The sequence below is a fragment of the Homo sapiens genome, chromosome 15 (assembly GCF_000001405.40).
Source record: "Homo sapiens chromosome 15, GRCh38.p14 Primary Assembly".
NCBI lineage: Eukaryota > Metazoa > Chordata > Mammalia > Primates > Hominidae > Homo > Homo sapiens.
In genome coordinates this window covers 86,234,539-86,255,101 of record NC_000015.10, presented here as the reverse complement: position 1 = coordinate 86,255,101, position 20,563 = coordinate 86,234,539, and the positions used below count along the sequence as shown (strand labels likewise).

Genomic DNA, 20,563 nt, shown 5'->3' with positions numbered 1-20,563 from the left:
TAGGTATGTTTGTGATGGTCTTTGATAATAAAAGATAATCATGTCTTTTTTGTTGGTGGAATGGAACAAGTGAAAGGATGAAGGCAAGTTCAAATGTTCTGAAAAATTGGGCCATACCACGAACTGAATTTGAAGGCTGGAGGGAGTATTAAAATCTATAAAACCCAAGGCTTTAGGAATCATGATATATTTGCTGTCTGCTGCACTGTAGGGGAAATACTTATGAATGCAAAGATCATTGGTTTCAAGGTGACAGAAATTCTTGAATTCCTTTGTCAACATTTCCCTCATGCTGATGGAAAGGTGCTGTGCAGAGCCAAGACTAAGGTGAGGAAAGGGAGGTTCCCAGGAAGCACTTGCTCTCAGGCTCCTAGAAGTGCAGGGCTGGTACTTGTGCTTTGCATCAAAAAAAGACAAGACTCCAGGAAATAGGATCCTTATGGACCAATGTCTCAGAATTGGAGGGAAAGGTGAGATTTTAGGCTCCCTTTTCCCATCACTCTCAATAACACATCTGCTACTTGGAAGGGATGATGAAATATGAGAATGCATTCAATTAATACATTCAATGCTTCCGTCACAGTTAACATCTTTGAATTCGCTTTGGCGTAATAAATACCCTACTTGCATGATACATAGGCAAGGTAAAGTAAGAGCAAACTGCTCAGGTCCTGGAGCCAGACTACATGAGTTTAAATCCTGGACTAAAGATTACTAACTTCATAACCGTGGCAAATTAATACACTTCTCTGTGCCACAGTGTCTTCATCTGCAAAGTGGAGATAATAACACAACCTCTCTCCTAATGTTGTGTGTGAATTAAATGCATTAAAGTAGGCAAGTGCCGAATAGTAAGCATTTAGTATTAGCCAGTGGGAAGAGAGAAGGCATCCTTAGTTTCATAAAGTCTCCTAGGAGTCTGCAAGAGAATACTAGGAGTCACTGCTACGCAGAGCAGAGTCCTAGTAATAATTCCCATGATAACAAAGCAAGGCATTTTAGTGGAAAAGGACCTTGACTAAGAGTATAAAGTCCTGGGTTTAAATTCCAGCTCTGCTTCTATGTAGCCAAAGCCACGAACATCTCCTGCCTACACTCCTATCAACACTCTAATTCCTCCCCTTACTCTCCTTCCTTCCCCTTGTGCCCTCTGATAATCTCTTTTCCAAATGGCAGCCAGAATGGTCCTTTAAAAGCATAAATCAGTTTAATGGGTATAGAGTTTCAATTTTTCCAGATGAAAAGGGTTCTGGAGATGGATGGGTAGTAGTGACAGTTATACAACAATGTACTTAACCCTACCAAACTGTACACTTAAAAACAGTTAAGATGGTGAATTTGGTTGCATGTATTTTACTACAATTAATTTAAAATTTTTCAAAAATAAAAAAATGAAACACATAAACTGTATCGGGTCAGTCTCCTGCTTCAAACTTGATAGAAATAAAATTCTAATTTATTTTTGTGCCCTAGGAAGTTCTATGTGATCTGGCCCTCCCTATCCCTTTAATTCATGTCCTCTTCTCCTTCGTGCCTCCTTACAAGTTGATGGAGGCCAGGCATGGTGCCTCACGCCTGTAATCCCAGCACTTTGGGAGGCCGAGGCAGGTGGATCACGACATCAAGAGTTTGAGACCAGCCTGGCCAACAAGGTGAAATCCCGTCTCTACTAAAAATACAAAAATTAGCCAGGCATTGTGGTGCATGGCTGTAATTCCAGCTACTCGGGAGGCTGAGGCAGGAGAATCGCTTGAACTCAGGAGGCGGAGGCTGCAGTGAGCCAAGATCACACTACTGCACTCCAGCCTGGGTGACAGAGCGAGACTCCATCTCAAAACAAAACAAACAAAAAAAAGTTGATGGAAGTAAAATTCAAAGTCCCTATCATAGTTCAAGGAACTCTAAATGCCCTGGCACTGCCCATGACTCCAACTCAATCTCATGCCTCCACCCTTACTCACAATGCTCTGCCATGTCTGTGTTTCTCAAGCTCACCCACCTCCCACTCTACTCCCCCACCTGAGGGTCTTTGCATGTACTTTCTTTTTCTCTCCCTGGAACCCTCGTCTCCAGACCCTCATGGCACTGGTTCTTTCTTACTATTCAGGTCTCAGGTGACACAGCAGCTCTTCGACTCCTGCCTGGCATAACCCCTCTCTCCCTTCTCTTTGCGGTGATTCTTTGAACATAGAGGAGAAATTCTAAGCCCAAGGGCAGATGTGGCGTAGCTTCAATATAAAAATATCTTAAATGGAAATGGCTTGATATCTTCTGGATTGTCACTGAGATCTTTCCTTCTGCCTGACCCTCCAAAACGTCCTAGTTGTCCCACTCGCTCTCCACAGCTTCTCTGTCTGTGCCTGGTGGCCACCTCCTGTGCTTCTCTGAACAGTTCACAAACCAAGTGTTTCTCTTAGACTTTTCAAAACGCTCTCCTAGCCTCATTCAAATGTGGGTGCCTTCATGGAGGCTTCTCTGGTCAGCAAGACCAAGTAGGGCCTCCTCTGCATGGTTACACAAAGTCTGCTATTACCCCCACCTGCTGGCTACACTGCATTATCCATATCCTATTTTCCCATATAGGATTCTAAGTTTCCTGAAGATGATGAGTCCTCTATCACCTTCATCTTTGAACCCCCTATAGAACCCAGCCCCAACATCTTTCACAAAGAAGGAGCTCAGAAAACATTTACTGAATAAATAGTAAATGATCTCAGACCAATCTGACCTTTAGGGTATCCAGTTCTTGATTCCAACCTGGTAATATTCTCTTTAGAATTCAGTCCCTCCTTACACAGGTCCACAAGGCTGAGGTCATTGGTCTTGTTGGCCAGAGAGGAGCCTGATGAATCAAGGCTTGGCCTACTGTGCTTTCTGAGCAAATGGTGGCAACTGTGACTTTTAAAAGGCCATATCAGTTCTTATTCCAGTGGTTCTCAAAGTGAAGTACCCAGACCAGTAGCATCAGTATCACCTGAGAACTCGTTAGAAATGCAGAATCTTGCATCTCACCTCGGAACAACTGAAGTAGAAACTCTGGGGTAGGATCTAGCAATCTGTGTTTTAACAATTCCTCTAGGTAACTTTGATGCATGCTCAAGTTTGAAAACCACCAATTTTAGCAACCTTTCAGGCCCCTTAAACTGTTGTAGCTCCAAAGAGTGGTTCTTTTCTCTGATTATCTTATATAGGTTTGTTCCTTCTGCAGTTACCTATTTCTCCAAATTGATAATTATCCCCAAATGTTTCAGGCATCCTTGTAGGAGTTCTTTTTTTTTTTCAATCTTGCATTCAAATTGTCATCCGTCTTCCTCTTTCCTCATGCAAAGCTCCAATAAGATTCCATTATACTACATTACACAGCACCCTTGCTGCACTATGATCTCAGCCTTTGAACTTTTAGGGGATGTTTACAGAATCTGTGCAGAAACGTGAGACTCAGGAAACAGAGAGGTAGGGTCACCAAGAGAGAAACAATGCAAGCAGTGGCCTCAGCAGAAAGGCAAAGAAGAATATTATGATGGCAAAGGTGTGGGAAGGACTTAAAAAAAGTTCCTTTACAGTCAGTCTCATTCTCAGTAGGTTTGTCAGCACATCACAAACATCAATAAAATTAATTTAGGACATTGGTTTTCCAAGTGTGATCCTAAATCAGTAGTATCAGCGTCATTTAGGAAGTTGTCAGGAAAGCACATTCTCAGGCCCCACCAGAGCCCTACTGAGTCAGAAACTCTGAGATTGATGTCCAACAGGCTCTGCTTCAGTGACCCCTCCAGGTGACTCTGATGCATGCTCAACTGGGGGAGCTGCTGGTACAGTGGGCAAAAGCATGGGCTCTCAGGTGAGACTACCAGATTCCAATCCTAGCTCCAACACTTATGAGCTTTGCGAACTTGGGAAAATTACTTAACAGTTACGTGCCTCAGTTTCTTCATCTATAAAAAGGGAGATAATAATAGATCCTACCTCAAAAGCTTTTGAAATTATCAATATTGGAGAGTCTGCATAAATTGCTAAGACAGCCAAGGGATGTATTAATAGTAAGAGTTCAAAGTAACTGTCTTCTCCTTCTCCTACTTCTTCTCTTCCTCTTCCTCCTCCTCCCTCTGCTGCTGCTGCTTCATTAACATTGTCATCACTATCACTGGCAGTAGCAATAGCAGCAGCAGCAGCAACAGCAGCATAATTTGCAAATGGCAACTGAAATAACATCACCAAATCCAAGGCCCCTAAGTTGGCCATCCAGTGACTCCCATGCCTTCTCTAGCAGAAGGGAGAGGAGGGGTGATGGGCAGCTGTAACTCCAGCACACCTGCAAGGGCATCTGTGCTCACAGCACTCACCTGAGGTCTGGGAGGCTACTCAACACTGGTTATGACTGCCGGGGGGAAGAGTAACAAGCCATTTGGTTTCTAAGCCAGGACAGCCTATCTTTCACCTGCAATGATCATTTTCCAAAAACCAGGAGAATGTCAAACATCTGACTTTGCACATAAACTTGATAACATTTTCTCTGGAAGAGCACACCTTTTTTTTTTTTTTTTTTTTTTTTTTTTTTTTTTTTTTTTTTTTTTTTGAGACAGAGTCTTACTCTGTTGCCCAGACTGGAGTGCAATGGTGTGATCTCAACTCATCGCAACCTCCACTTCCTGGGTTCAAGCAATTCTTCTGTCTCAGCCTCCTGAGTAGCTGGGATTACGGACACATGCTACCACGCCCGGCTAATTTTTTGTATTTTTAGTAGAGATGGGGTTTTGCCATGTTGGCCAGGCTAGTCTTGAACTCCTGACCTCAGGTGATCCGCCTGCCTCAGCCACCCAAAGTGCTGGGATTACAGGCATGAGCCACCACTCCCGGCCAAGAGCACACTATTTAAAAGACTAAAAGCAAGGGCGAGTGGTGGTGGTGAGGAATTCAACCTCTTGAGGTTGACACCCATACATTCTATACACTCTTCCAGGTGACAGATGTGTCATGGCCTATTTACTCAGCACTATCCCATAGGCCCCTCCTGAACTGCTTTTCCATATCATACTTGCAGAGATTATAACATGAGCTAGAGAAACCTCACTATAAAGTGCACACTCTGTGTGCACTCACATTCTGCTTCCATTCCAACAGTAGTTCAAGGCTGGAAGCTTCTTGCTAATGTGCTTAATTGAGCAACTGAAGTCTTCACTGACCTGATAAGGAACTGTTTTGAAGAACCTGTGCACAGATTCATAGCACCTCATGCTGGGCTTCATTTGGTGTTTTCTCCACCACCTTTCTATCGTAGACATTTCCCTCTGTGACTACTGTCTTCTTCCTTTATTGGTCTTGTTTTTCTTGTTTGTTTTGTTTATTGTTTGGTTGGTTTTTTAGCACAGAACAGAGAAATAGCCAATAACATGGAGGGCAGAGGAACACGGTAAAGCACTGGACCAGAGTGGGGGGCTGTTAAACATCGGCAATGCAGGAGGGCATTGCACAAGGACTGGGAGGGATTAGAGACTTGGGCAACCACAAGCTTAGAAAGCATGAGGAAGCTTGGAAAAATTCAAAGCCCTGCTTCATGTCGAGAAATAGAAGGTAAAATATAGCTATTTCATGACTGAGAAGCTTTGAAAGCTGTAATGATGGAAAGAAACCCAGAGGTGATAGCAGATAGGGAGTTAGATATTGGTTTGCAGCACTGTATTTTGTTATTGTTTAGCAGGGGAAAAGACCATTTTTTAATGAGAAATGTCTCCAGATACCACGGTTGGAAAAACAACACTCTCATTGGTGGCTTCATTACCTCAGATGTACTCAGATAGAGAAAAACTGGAGGGTGTCCAGAGAAGAGCAAGAAGGCTGATAAAGGGAGTCCAGAGGTGGCCTAATCCAGAGATAATAGGAACATAATGTGTGTGCAACATGGCTGCCTTGGCCCCAGGAGAAGGTGGGTGAGCAGATGATGGATACTGGAACACTTATATCACCAATAAGGAGGGCATATGTAGCCTCAAACTATAGGATTTCAATTAGCCCTAATCAGGTGAAATTAAGGAATTTATTTAGGTTGAAATCCAGGAATCCCTAGAATGCATATTCCAGTGGGGTGCTGATAAGTAGAAACCCTTGAAGACACCATCCCCTTTCCCTGGGATGCTCTTCCTCTGCAACTTGGCCTGACCAGCATGACCAGCTCCTCCAACAACTCAGGTCTCAGCTCAGGTGTCATCTGCTCAGAGATGACTTGACCTCTCTCTCTAAAAGAACACCTGCTCCCTCTACCTATGGCAGCCCCTGTAGACCTATGCCCTTACTTCATTGATTTCACAGTGCGATATGAAATTATCTTCCTCATTGGATTCTTTGCTTACTTAGTGTCTCACTCTTCTGCTAGGAGGTTTTCCCTATAGGATCAAGGGCCTCGTTTGTCATATCCACCACTAGATTCCACTGCTAATTATTCCAATAACGGCTCATCCTCACAACGCAGTTCAGTCATGGCAAGCACTCTTCTAAGCACGGGCCATTTCTACAATAACTTATTTAGTCCACACAACAACCTAGGTTTTGTTATTTCTGCTTTTTTTTGAAGAACCTCAAGGCCCAGAGAAGTTGAGTGACTTCTTCAAAGTTACACAGCTGTAGGCCCTAGAGCTAGGATTTGAATCCAGTACTCTAGTTCTAGAGTCAACACTTAACACTATGCCATACACTGCACCTCTGGTAGTGTGTATTCAACAAATATATGTTAAGTATATATGAATGAACCAATGGAATGAAGATTTTATTGTTGCCGTTGCTGTTGTTTTGAGACAGGGTCTCACTCTGTCACCTAGGCTGGAGTTCAGTGGTGCGATCTCGGCTCACTGCAACATCTGCCTCCTGAGTTCAAGCAATTCTCCTGTCTCAGCCTCCTGAGTAACTGGGACTATAGGTGTGCAACACCACACCCAGCTAATTTTTGTATTTTTAATAAACACGGGGTTTCACCATGTTGGTCAGGTTGATCTCAAACTCCTGACTTCAGGTGATCACCTGCCTCGGCCTCCCAAAGTGCTGAGATTACAGGAGTGAACCACCGGGCCTGGCCTGGAATGAAGCCTTAAATCCAGAACATCCGCCCTTAGCAGGCAACAAGAAATAGACTGAGGCGTTCCCAGCTCTATCTGGGATGATTCCTAAATGACAGCCTTCAGGAATCACCCAGCTGGCCTCCAGCTGCAGAGTGAATCCCCATGCTGCCTGCCTGTGTGGTGCTGAAGAGGATCTCCATGCCCTGTGCTGCCAGGAAGGCCTCCCTGCCGGACCGGAGGGCAGCAATGTGCCTGAGGCAGAGCAGCAAGCCCCGTCGGATCTGCACGTAGGCGTTGGCTGTGTCATGGCTGTGCCAGTCCTGGTGCAGCCCGAGCAGGCTGGTGACGTAGCCTCGGTTCACTGCTCTGCGGCCGTTCGACTCTGAAAACAAAGGGAAAGGCAGGGTCAGTCACAGGCTCTCCACAGCCACACCTCTTTGAGAATGTTCCAGTGTATTTCCCACAAGATACTTATTAATCATCAAGGGAATAATAACATTTTAGTATGAAAACTGGCAGATGTCACCTTAAACCAAGTGATCAAAGTTAACATCCCCAGTAATGGGACAGTCATCACGTGCCACCCGATATGATACACTGAGAAAGATCGGCATCACTTCTATAGTGTTCCTGCCAAGAATGCATAACCCAAGTTGGATCATGAAGAAAATCAGCAAAGCCAAAATGAAGGACATGCTACAAAATACCTGACCTACACTCCACTCCTTGAAAATGTCAAGGTCATGAAAGGCAAAACAAAGCAGAACAAAACATGAGGCTAAAGGGAAATAAAAAGACATGACAAGTCAGCATAATAAGTAATTATAGTTTAAATCTTGGGCCAGCAAACAATTTTTTCTTTTGCTATAAAAGGCATTATTGGGCATCTGGTCAAATTTGAATAAGATCTGTAGATCTAATAGTTATACTAACAGTTTTGTATCAATGTTTATTTTCAGATTTTGATAAACTGGGGTTATGTAAGAGAATACTTTTGTTTTTAGGAAATTCATAATTAGAGTATATGAAAGTCTGTACCTTATTCTCAGAAAAAAAAGAAACATAATAATAATAGTGTGGGAGGAGAGACAGACACAGAGAGAGATTTCCACCAGATTTCCATTCCTCCTATCTGAACTTCAGTGGACCCGGAGGTTGTCATTTGGGTTGAGCTGACTATCAGGTTAGGTGGGGAAGGAGAAGATGCTGAATGAGATATAGTACCTGTAAGGCTGCCATGTCTAAGAGATATGTTGGCTGTCCTTTCTAAAGAGAATGGAAGCTAATTTATATATAATCAAGACTCATAAATTTGTTTCATATAGTTGTAACCTCCACATCCATTTTTTAGGCATGACTTAAGTTGCTTGAAACCCAGTCATACCCTGTTGCCTCTGACCTAGAGAAAACTTGCCCTTCCCACGTGGTTGTTTGCCACATGGCCTGCTTGTTCCTCATCCCACTAACCCAAAACCCAACATTTCCCACATCTGCTGACCACAGTAAAACCCAATGGACAACACCAGAGTCATGTGAATAGGACCTGCTCTTCATGTGCGTTTTCTTTAAACTGCCCAGTCCATAACCCCTGCAGGAAAGCCTGACAGATAACGCCATGAACCTTAAAAAAGGCCCAGTCCCACAACAAGACCTCTCTCTCCCCAGACACTGTTAGAGCTCCCTGCCACCTCCAGGCTCCCCAGCAACTCCGCTTATTCTCCTGGCTCTGTAACGACAGAAACACTTCTGTTACTTCACGGGTTTTGCTGTGCTGCCTCCTCCACACACCCCAACTAACTTTACCCCCTATCAGTGGCTTACAGCCACTCTTGAAAGAGACCCCAAGATCAAGTTAGAAAGAAATCACAGGCCGGGCGTGGTGGCTCACACCTGTAATGCCAGCACTGTGGGGGCCTGAGGCAGGAGGACGGCTTGAGGCCAGGAGTTTGGAGACAAGCCTGAGTAACATAGTAAAACCCCATCTCCACAAAAAATAAAAATAAGCCAAATGTGGTGGCTTGCACCTGTGGCTCCAGTTACTAGGGAGACTGAGGCAGGAGAATCACTTGAGCCCAGGAGTTCGAGGCTGCAGTGAGCTATAGTCCTGAGCAACAGAGTGAGACCCTAGCTCAAAAGAAAAAAAAACAAAGAAAGAAAGAAAGAAATTAAAATACACTAGGCTGAATTCAGGAAAGGAATTCCTCACAGTTAAGGATGTTCAACAAGAGGATAGACTCTACGTGGTAGTGAGCAACAGGGCTCTGAAAATGTTCAGGTAAAGTTCGGAAGCCCACCCAGCAGGGATTTAGTATGGAGCTTTCTCATATCTAATAGGGACCTTTTCAACTCCTTGACTTCTCTGTGTTAGTTCAATATTCCTGTTTGGGACCGCCCATAAAACCGTATTTTACGGACTTAAAACAGAGGAAGAAGAACAGTCCAAGATACCTCTCTCAACAGTTAATATACACTACTTTTCAGGTTAAGCTCCTTGGGCTACAGGGTTGGTGGACAAGCATGTACCGGTTCAGATCTACCCAGTAGATGCCTGGCCCTCTTGGCTCCTAGGGACTAGGTACATTGCAGGGCTCTAACCTGCTGACTCTCAGTCAGAATGCCCAAATTTTGTAGCTCCGTTCTCTCACTACCGCATCTCTCCATCATCGAAACCATTCACACTGGCGTATGAGACAGTATGTGCTTCTGGCTGAGTGTGTGTGAGGGAGAGCCCATGAGGTATAATCAGATAAGCAAAATTTCATCTCAAAGTCAGATTTCTCCCTAAGACCATGTGAGTGCATATGAGTGCAAACAATAACATGGAAATGTAATGCTTTATTCCAGAGGGGATTTTTTTCATAATATTAATAAAACTCTCTTTTTTTCTGCTTGTTTGTCAAATTCTAAATTGTCAGGCTTGACTAAGCCCCACTGATTTTTTGGCCCATTTGTGCAGTTGGTGTTTGTTTGTTTGTTTTTTTCTCTTTACAACATGACCCTAAACAGAGAGTGACGAGCTTTATTCACCTGGTGATACATTTGTGGAGGGTTTGAATTGCCTTCATTACCTCCTTTAATGAATTGTTCTTTTGTATCAAAAATATTTCACTTCCTGGCAGATCTTGGCCATACAGCATGAGAGTTATTTATTGCCTGAAGGAGTTTGCAGCCTATTCAATATCTGATGTTTAAAAGAAAATTGAGAATTAAGTGGGAGGTATTAAAGGACAGTATCACCTGCTAAAAAGATGCCAGAACAACAGTTCACAGGGGCCCCGTGGGCAGCATAAGCTTAAGGACTTTTGTCTTTTTTCTGTTTTAAGAGTATTAGATTGATAATGGGTTATCCCAGTGACCTTCATCCATGTCTTTTTTGGTGGGGGGAGAAAGATAATGAAAAAAAATCTTTAATTTTCTGGGAGAAAAATCCCTTATCAAATCCCAATGATTTTATTCATGATTTCCTGTTAATCCCCAGCAAACTCTCATGTTTACTAACATTTAAAATAGCTAAACCTCCTTCCCCCGCGACCCTACACCCGTCAATCTTTCTCTGAGAATGGCTTGGGAAGTTGTGCAAAAGTCAATACGTATCTAAAATGCGACAAGAGGAGATTCATCAAACTGAGAAAGAGCAAATGTGGAGAAGAGCAAAGAATGAAATGAGGGTCACTGGGATCAGCAACTTAGAGGAGTTCTGGAAGATCTGAGAGGAAGGCGCTGCTTTGCAGGGCCAGGGCAAACAGAGCAGAGATGAGGTGCATTTTTGAATACTGCTCTGGGTGGACTTAGAGTTGAGAGATGTGAGAGGGCTTCAAGTCCCCCTCTTTGGAAGAGACCAGCTCTGCTATAGTCTGTTTACATAAACAGCGTTTTCCTAAGATTTTCCTTGAAACAAAATTTTTATGTTGCTTAATTTTTTTTAAGTTTCTAAATAGATTAGTGTCTATTTACTTATATATATATTTATTTATTTATTTATTTATTTACTTATTTATCTATCTATCTATCTATCTACTTATCTATTTATTTTAAGACAGAGTCTCACCCTGTTGCCCAGGCTGGAGTGCAGTGGCATGATCTCGGCTCACTGTAATCTCTGCCTCCCAAGTTCAAGTGACTCTCCTGCCTCAGCCTCCCGCATAACTGGGATTCCAGGTGCACGCCACTACACCCGGCTAATTTTGCTAATTTTTTTGTATTTTTAGTAGAGACGGGGTTTCACCATGTTGGCCAGGCTGGGCTCGAACTCCTGACCTCAAGTGATCCACTCACCTTGGCCTCCCCAAGTGCTGGAATTACAGGCGTGACCCACCATGCCCGGCCTACATTAGTATCTTTTAAACTGGTTGGAGGATGGGGATGGAATGGACAGAGAGTTCTGAGGGTCTTTCGTATTAACACCTCACCCTCTCCTCTACCCCACCCTAAAAGCATTGACCCTGCTTCCTGGCACCCCCTAGCTCCATCAGGCCCTTGCTGCCAGCCTCATGCTGAAGGTATTTTTTTGGCCAGTTTTCCTTTGGCAAATCCATGAACAACAGGAGATTTATCTCTGTCCTCACCTCCCATTCACCCTTCTATATTCTACTATTTCTGCTTATCTCTCCAGGTTCTATCCTCCAAGGGCCTGACTTGTAGCTAATTCTCAGTCTGAAACGGGACCTAGTGATATCCTTATTTTAACCCCAAGTATTTCTTAACTGAGGTTCACATGTGCCTCTTTAGTGCAGATCCCATTGATGCAGATTTTTACACTTAAAAACTGGAAGGGAATATGCCAAGGTAACAAGAATACTTAATGAGTTGAGGATCAACTGATGATTCTATTTGCTTATTTAGAGTTTTCTGTAGTTTTAATCCTTACGCGTTCTACAACAAACTTTGACAATCAGGAGGAAAAAAAAATGTATCCTTTTGATGTTACAAACTGGTAACCTACAGACTATTAGCCACACAGTGTTGTCAAGGCAAGTGAGAAGGGCAAGCAGTCCACAGGTTGACATAGTAATCAACTCATTTTTTTGTCTAACCCCAGCTCCTTCAGAAGTGAATTACCTGCCTAGCTCGTGAAGGCACTGGAGATCCCAACCATCTTTATAAAGATGTTTGTGGTCTAAACAGGAAAGCCTAGAAACCTTCAAGACTCAAAAAATTGAATTTCTCCTGGGCAATGTGGGGCCACATGACAGGCTGGCGGGGAAAAGTGGTTGGTGTCCTGAATAATTTTACCTGCAAGCAGCCCACTGCTCCTCTTACTTGGCAAAACTAAAGGAAGTTGTTATCACTGCTCTTTATTTCCCATATTTGGGGACTGCCTTATCCTTTTTGGGAGCAGTGATGACCTTAAGCAGAGAAAATGTAGGAGCCTGCAGCAAAGTAACGTATTGGAAGCTTTAACAGCCACAGCTCCAGAAATGAGACATGCAGATGAGTGTAGACTTCTAAACTCATGTACCCCTCCCTGCCTTGCATGTCCTAATCTGTGGGCAGACCCTTCAACTTTCTGTCACTGCCTTTCTGAAATCCTTGCATATAGCCAGAAGCTCCACCACTTTCTAGCTGTGCGACTTTGAGCATGTTACTTTACAGCTCTATCACTCAGTCTTTATCCAAAATAAAACCAATAGTAATCATCTCTCCTTTGTGAGACTGTTGAGAGAATTAAATGAGATAATACATATAAAGTAGATGGCTCGATGCCTGGTACATAATAGGTACAATATCTGTTGCCTGTGGTAACTATCATCATCATGATCAGCATCATCTATTTTTTTTTTATTCCAATGGCTCTCTATTGCTACGGACAAATGTATTAGTCTGTTCTCATGCTGCTAATAAAGACATACCTGAGACTGGGTAATTTATAAAGGAAAGAGGTTTAATTGATTCACAGTTCCACTGTGAATTGTGAGGCTGGGGAGGCCTCACAATCATGGCAGAAGAACAAGGGACATTTTACATGGTGGCAGGCAAGAGAGAGCTTGTGCAGGGGAATTCTCCTTTATAAAACCATCAGATCTCATGAGACTTATTAACTATCATAAGAACAGCATGGGAAAGACCCACTCTCATGATTCAACTACCTCCCACTGGGTCCCTCCCATGACACGTGGGAACTGTGAGAGCTACAATTCAAGATGAGATTTCAGTAGAGACACAGCCAAATCATAACAACAAGAAGAACAGAAGCTTCAGGGGCCCCTAGTTACTCATTTTACTTTTGGCTCTAGTGTTTACTAGCTGTGTAACCTTGGTTAAGTTACTCAATGTTACAGTTTGAACATGTCCCCTCCAAAGTTCAGGTGTTGTCAATGTGATAGTATTAAGAGGTGGGGCCTTGAAGACATGATTAGGCCAGGAAGGCTCTTCTCTTGTGAATGAGATTAAGGACCTTTTAAAAGAGGCTTCACACAGTGTCCTGCTAGCTTGCCCTTTCACCTTCTGCTATGTGAGTATGCAGCAAGAAGGCCCTCACCAGATGCCACACCCTTGATCTTGGACTTCCCAGCCTCCAGAACTGTGAGAAAAAAAAATTCTTTATCAGTTACCTAGTCTCAGGGATTTTGTAATAGAAACACAAAATGGACTAAGAAGGACACTTAGCGTTCTGAACTGAATTTCCATCATCTGTAAATATTAAAGCAATATAAAAAAGATAAAAATAATTGAAACATTCTTACAAGTCCATTATAAGAACTGAAAACATAACTCAGCACCTGACATAAAGTATGTGCTCAATAAATGATCATTCCTTTCCCTACAAAGATGGCATCCAAATTTCACATACCCTTCACCAATGAGCAGAGCCAAAGGAAAAATTTCAAAATAAGTAAAATTTATAACCATTTTCTTCAATCCCCATGGCATGTAGTTGACTTCTCACCCCAAAATGGCCACCAGTCCTACATTGCTGCCTCTCTGAAACACTCCCATACATACAATGAAACACTCCTCTTTACGCATGCTGAAGTTCACACCCCATTTTATACCAGGTGCCATAAAAGGCCATGTCCATGATATAAACCTGAAAATTTCCCTCTCTGGCAAAATGTACACGTATTGAGTCTCATTACTCTAAAGCCTTTTTAGGAGATTAGTTAATCTTCTAAGATCCATGTGACTGATAGCAGTTACATGTTTAATATGCCACCTTTACATTTGATAAGACATATATGAGTAAGAATAAATACAAGGACTTGAGGCCCTCTATCATTCCTGAGAACAGAAATTACCTCCAGCTATACAGAGTACCGTGACATATTCTACCCCAAACAATTGTTGCCCAGAAAGATTAAATAGCTCTACTGTTTCAGAGCCGTCCTGAAAATCCATTCATCTGAACTACTGACAATTCAACTCGTCTTTTTCAGGATAGAAACCCCCTTCTCAGAACAGAAGACCATGCAACTGGGGGGATTGAACTCTTACTTACTCTCCAAAGTTTCCTTCCAAATCCCTTCCTCCCAACCTTGAGCAATTATATTGCAAAACTTGCCTGATCCCAAATAGGACTCCACATTGAAACCCTTGCTTCAAACCACTCTTCTCAAACCCTGCAATTTTCCACCTGAGAATTCCCATTTCTGAGACATTAGTAAGAATAAAGGTAGTTGTGTCCCTAACTACAGTATACGATACCACTGACTTTGCAACAGATTATCTTAGGGGTCTTTTCAGGGAGTCTATTTAGAAGATGTTTCTGGATAAAGTAGTCTCTACTAAGTATTCTAAATCATATTACATGAAAATAAGCTGTCTGCCATCAGAACACATTACAACGTGAATATTTATTTACTAAATATTTCCTATGTGCTCTGCACTAGGCTAATCATCTTATATGGATCATCTCATTTGTCTTATGAAAATGTTTAAAGATAAGTATTACTTTCCCTCTTTTACAAATGAAGACAGAGGCTAAGAGAAGTTAAACAACTTATTTAAGTCTGCAGAGCTTATAAGTGGCATATCTAGGATTCAAATGAAATCCCCTCATCTGACTCCAAAGGTTAATATCCCATGGTAGCCTCAAAGCTCCCTTTTAGTTTTATTTTCATTTTTAATTGATAAAGCAATGATTGTATATATCTATGGAGGTCGATGTGAGGTTCCCGTGCCTATATATATACCTTGGGGAATGAACAAATCGGGCTAATAAACATATTCATCATCTCACAAGGCTGTCAGCATAGTTCACATTCTTTGCACCTATGTAAAGACTTTTAGTTCTTACCACTAATCCAGCTTCTTGAGGAAGATTTCTGAAAGGCTAATGGAGATACAGCCTGCGGTGCTTGAAGAGTGGCTTTTAGCCAATCCCCCTCCTCCAACTTCTCTGTTCCCTCTCAGGGCCCTAAATTGTGGTAAGAGTTGGTTTTTCGTAGGAAACTTGAAAAGGTTTAAAGACCCAAATAAATAGCCTATGGTTCTTTGAGTCCCTGGAGAAGATGTTTTGGGGACTTCTTTACATCCAGCCAATGACACAGTGAGGCCGGCCCAGCAATGTCAGGCCCAGGTGTGAGTGCGGCACCATTGAAGAGAGGTGGAATCAACTGCCACCTCCTCCTGCCCTGCAGCTGCAGGAGTGGCTGGTGCAAAGGAGAACAGCCAAAAGCATAAGGATATGTACAAAAGCATAAGGAAACCTAATGCCATCCATAATGGAAATTATACTTGATTATCATTTCTCAAATAAGAATGATGGTTTTGAATTAGCTTTCGGGTACTTTTTTTCTCTTTGTAAAATAGATACATTTCAATAAACTTGGCTATAAAGTAAATTTTGGTTTCAAGCAAATCTTGTTTTCTCAATTGACTGCCTTTATAAAATTAAAGATGCTTTTCCGAAGCTCCAGAAACCGGGACAGGTAAGAGACTACACTTCAGACCACTGTTTTAAATCTAGATGAATCTATCTTTTTATAAATCCTCAACTCCTTCTAATAACTTGCCACAGAACTAGTCCCAAACCACAGGAATTTCTCTACTTTCAGTAAAGCCTCAGAATCCACACCTTTCTCTTCCTCACACATCTCTGCTCTTCCCCCACCCTCAGCACATACAATGTCTAATGAAGGACCTTAGGTTGCAATGCTGCACCTATGAAGAGAAAGGGGCATGCCTGTAATTCCAGCACTTTGGGAGGCCAAGGCAGAAGCATTGCTTGAGCCAGGAGTTCAAGACCAGCCTGGACAACAGAGTGAGACCCCCATCTCTACAAAAAAATAAAAATAAAAAATAAATTTGAAAAATAAACATAGAAGGCGCCACAAGACTCGAAACTCTTCTGAGTCAACATTCTACATTCCATATGAGGAGTCTATCTCACATACTTTATCAATCCTCAGGCATATGTTTATCCACATTTTAGCATTTCTGAAATTAAGGTGCTTCTTACCAAGGGTGATGTTTTCATTGTAACTGACAGCATTTTCTCACTCAGTGGCACATAAAAAATGGCATACACCTCACAGTTGATGATAGACTTAGATTTGAGAAAATATGGTTGATTTTTCAATATTGCTAGTTTGAAAATTCTCTAACATGGTAGACTCTTGGGAGGTTTGCTTCTTAGATGCAAATAAACATACAGGCCTTTGTCCGGAAAGCCAGATTCTCCCTATGGCTAGGCAGAGAGTAAATTATAAACTAAAACCATGTTCACACACCCAAAACCCAAGGTACCACCCTTAATCCATTCAGCAAACATTTATTTAGCAACTACGATATACCAGTTGTTCCAGGCACTATTATTGACAACAGAGATGCAGCAGAAAATGAAATAGAGAAAGCCTCACCTCTTATGGGGTTTGCAGTCCCACAGGAGTGGCAGGGGGAGGCAGATACCAAATAGGCACACACAAAGAAAACTAAACAAGGCAATTTCACATAGAGACAAGTGATACAGAGAAAACAAAACAGTGGCACTAGAGTGATGAGGTAGGGTGGCTGCTTTAGGTTGGATGATCAGGGAAGACCCTTGAGGAGGGGGCATTGGAGCTGAGGCATGAGCGACAAGAAGGAACCAGGATGCAGAGATCTGGGGATAGGAAATTCTTCAAACCTCAAGGGCACACAGCAAGTGGATAAAGCAAAAACTTGGTAAGTACAAATAATGAAAAGTCCAGGAGCTAAAGCCAGGTGAAGAAAGCAAGGGGACAGTAGTAGCAGATGACGGGAAAGGTGAGCAGGGATCAGGATGTGTGACCCCCCACCATTTTGAGACTCATCCCAACAGGTTGTGCAAAAGCGGGGGAATCTGTCAGGCTGAGAATTTCTCACTCGCCTTTCTGTTGTTTTTGCATCTCTGCAAGAAGACCCTTCAGAATAATTGTCTTAGAAATAGGCCTAGAAATTTGTATAGGAGTTTTTTTATCCATCCAAATTTTTATTTTGAGTCTAGACTGTGGGTGGGGAAGGAAGTACTTGCTAAACCCCAAGACAAGCCATTATCCCTTCCAGGTCTAGAAAATCTTCCACCTGGTTTGACTTTGCTGTGTCCACTGTCAACTCATCAGAGGATGACACTTAAAGAAGAAAGCCAGGATTTACATCAAGAAGAAGAAAATCAGAGACCTTCCCTCACCTTCCTTTCTCCCCAACTTGATATTTAAGGCACCCGTCTGTCCACCAGTGATGCTGCCTGCTTCTGGCCAGAGTACAGACAACCAACATAGACAGCAGGAAAGCAATTCTGCCCTGCGTTGCAAGCATCGCTCATGAATCGGTTCACACTGCATTGTGCCTCTAGGCCCTGAGTGTATGAGGAAGAGGCAAATAGCAAATGCTTCTGCACCCCTGAGCCTGCCACCCTTCAGCCTTATGTCAGCCAATAGTGTGTCACTATTGTTATAGGAGTTATTAAGAAATTATTTTAGGCAGATACAGAGGAAAGAGGGTCCTTGGGAAGTTTTTGTTTCTTTTAAAGTAGCTCCAGAACGTTTCTTGTCTAGCAGGAAAGGCCCGGCTTTTAGAGCTGGGCTGGCCAGCTTTGATATGCAAATGTGGGCCATTAAAAACTGAGTCCACCATTAGAAACTGGGCCCACCCACATCTTCTTGCCCTTGCCCCAACATGTGCCTGGCAACTTGGCGCCCCCCCGCCCCCCCCCGCCCCCCCCCGCCCACATATCCCCGTGTGTGTGGAACATCAGGGTACCCTGTATTTGCATATTAAAAGGCTAGGGTGGGAGGGTCAGTTTTTTCCCCGGGCTATGTGAATGACACGCCTGGTCAAACCAATCCCCTGAGCCCTATGCAAATCAGATACCCCCTCCTCCAGCCTCCAGCTGATTTCTGCCGCACTCTGGTTTCCTCTCTCGGCTTTGGAGCCCCCCTCCCTCTGTCTCTGTATGGGGAGGCTTCTTCCTTCTTTCTTTACTATTAAACTCTCCACTCCTTAAAACTACTCCATGTGTGTTCATGTCGTTTTATCCAATTCGGCCCGAGACTAAGGATCCTGGTGTTCCTCCAGTCCTCAGAGCTGTAACACTATGCAATCACAGAACCTTGAGCCGTGTGCATTCTCCTTTTAACTCAACTCCTATCACTCTCGATATGTCCATCCTCTCCTATTACCTGGGCTGCACCAGCAATCAATAGCCTCATATGTGACCCCAATGCTTCCATTCTCTCTTCTTCTGTGCAATGCATTTTATTGAAGCAGAATTTGGATGCTTCATCCCCTACTGGAAAAAAAAAAAAAAAAAAAGTAGTAGTTTCCAGGGACATCTGGAAGTCTGGGGTGCCAAGAGATGTCTAGTGCTCTGTGTGCCTCACGGTCTGTGGGCAGTGGTTGCCATACTGTGTGCCCCTGGGACTGGTGGAAGGGGCTAAGAAAAAGGCTGAGCAGCGTCTCTAACTTCCATTGTCCCCAGAGCAGCTACACTGTCATCTGTTTATATACAGTGGCTCTGCAAAGGATTTCATTTGAAAATAAAAATAAACATTCATTTCTTTCAAAAAAAAGTTTAAAACCTGCAGTAGTGAAAGGAAGGAGTAGAGGTTAGTCCCAATATGCCAAGTGCATATTACACAATCTCGGGCAAGTCAGTCAATCTCTTTCGGCCTCAGTGTCCTCTGTATAGAACACTATTTTTCTCATCCTCACACTACTGACATCTTGGGCTGATATTACTCATTGTGTGGGGCCATCCTGTGCATTTGTAGGATGTTCAGCAGCAATCTGGCCTTTACTCAGTTGATGCCAGCAGCACACCCTCTCCCACCACAGATGTGACAACCACAAATGTCTCCAGACCTTGCTAATTGCTCCCTCTGGGGCAAAGTCACTCATGTTGAGAACTACTGTTATAGAATAATTAAATATTTACCCGTCTGACAGGACCATGGTGAAGATTAAATGAGATTGTATATATGAAAAGCTGCTTTGTAAACTGCTGTTATTAGAAGGTGCTAGGAAACACCTTAGGTACATCTTGATGTAAATAAATAATTGTACAGCCAATCCTGAAAGTGATGAGGAAGCCATGATGTACTTTCTGAGTCATGAAATGTTTATATTTTTCTCTATCTCCTTAAATCTTTGTGATAATTTATCTTTGTCAATCCATAGCCAGTCATCAATTATGCCGGGATGATACAAGTTCTAAAATTTAAGACATTTAGAACTCATCAACCTTGGATATTAACCTTTGATTCCCTAGAGTAAAACAAAACAAGTGCATGCGGATTGATTGAGCAGGGTTCAATCTGCACGCATTCACTTATTCACTGATTCCTTTGTTCATTTAGATAACTTACTCTGAGTGTCCACTCTATAAAACACATTAGAGTCAATAGCTTAAGAAATAAGGAAGAATGAATAAGAAATAAGAATAAGAAGAATAGCTTAAGAAATAAGAATAAAACAGAGTCCCCAGATCCGAGGCTCACATAGTCTAAAGTAGGGGGTCAGCAAATTGCCCACAGCCCGTTTTCATGAAGTTTTTCACTTCTTTATATGTTGTCTGTTGCTGTTTTTGTCCTATAAGGGAAGAGTTAAGTAGCTGTGACAGAACTGTCTGATCCACAAACCGTAAAATATTTACTATCATCTGGCGCTTTTACAGAAAAAGCTTCTTGAAAAAAAGACAGACTCTAAAAACAACCAGATATCATTCAACCCTCGGGGAAGATCTTGGGAGACAAATTTACATTTCATCAGGCTTTATGCCCTTATATCATCACTTCCTGAAACCTCCAGGACTTTTGAAATGGTGATGACAATAAAACAAGAGTTCATCTTTATTGAGATGTACCAAGATCCAGTACTGTACTCCCACTCTTTTAAACATCACCTTGTTTAAATCTTACCAATTATCTTTGGAGTGTACTGTTTTCCCTGCTTTACAGATGAGGGAAGTGTAGCACAGAGTCATTAAGAAACATGCCACAGTGGCCACAGTTCAACTCTACACAGTCTTTCCAGAGCCTGCACAGTGACCACTGAGCAAGTGCTATTCTCCACTGTGACTTACTCTTTTTTTTTTTTTTTTTTTTTTTGAGATAGAGTCT

At 42.6% G+C, this 20,563-nt stretch overlaps 1 protein-coding gene across 11 annotated transcripts in view, besides 1 other annotated feature; it reads right to left on the bottom strand.

The window, feature by feature from the left end:
* The window catches only part of AGBL1 (AGBL carboxypeptidase 1), a 951,857-nt gene that overhangs the window by 776,375 nt on the left and 154,919 nt on the right, over window positions 1-20,563 (bottom strand). For all 11 annotated transcript variants that reach the window (XR_007064423.1, XR_931751.4, XM_011521227.4 and 8 more), the window contains exon 7: window positions 7,223-7,431. Coding sequence is in view for 9 of the 11 variants with exons in the window: in XM_011521227.4 (XP_011519529.1) it covers window positions 7,223-7,431 (209 nt within the window). In the remaining 2 variants the exon portion in view is untranslated. The remainder of the gene's footprint in view (window positions 1-7,222; window positions 7,432-20,563) is intronic.
* Window positions 17,297-18,175: an enhancer, noted in NCBI's record as "OCT4-NANOG-H3K27ac hESC enhancer chr15:86780158-86781036 (GRCh37/hg19 assembly coordinates)". NCBI's record gives its function as "activates a minimal SCP1, AML or CMV promoter by ChIP-STARR-seq in naive and primed H9 embryonic stem cells {active_cell/tissue: H9 hESC(naive and primed)}" and the evidence as "EXISTENCE:reporter gene assay evidence [ECO:0000049][PMID:30033119]".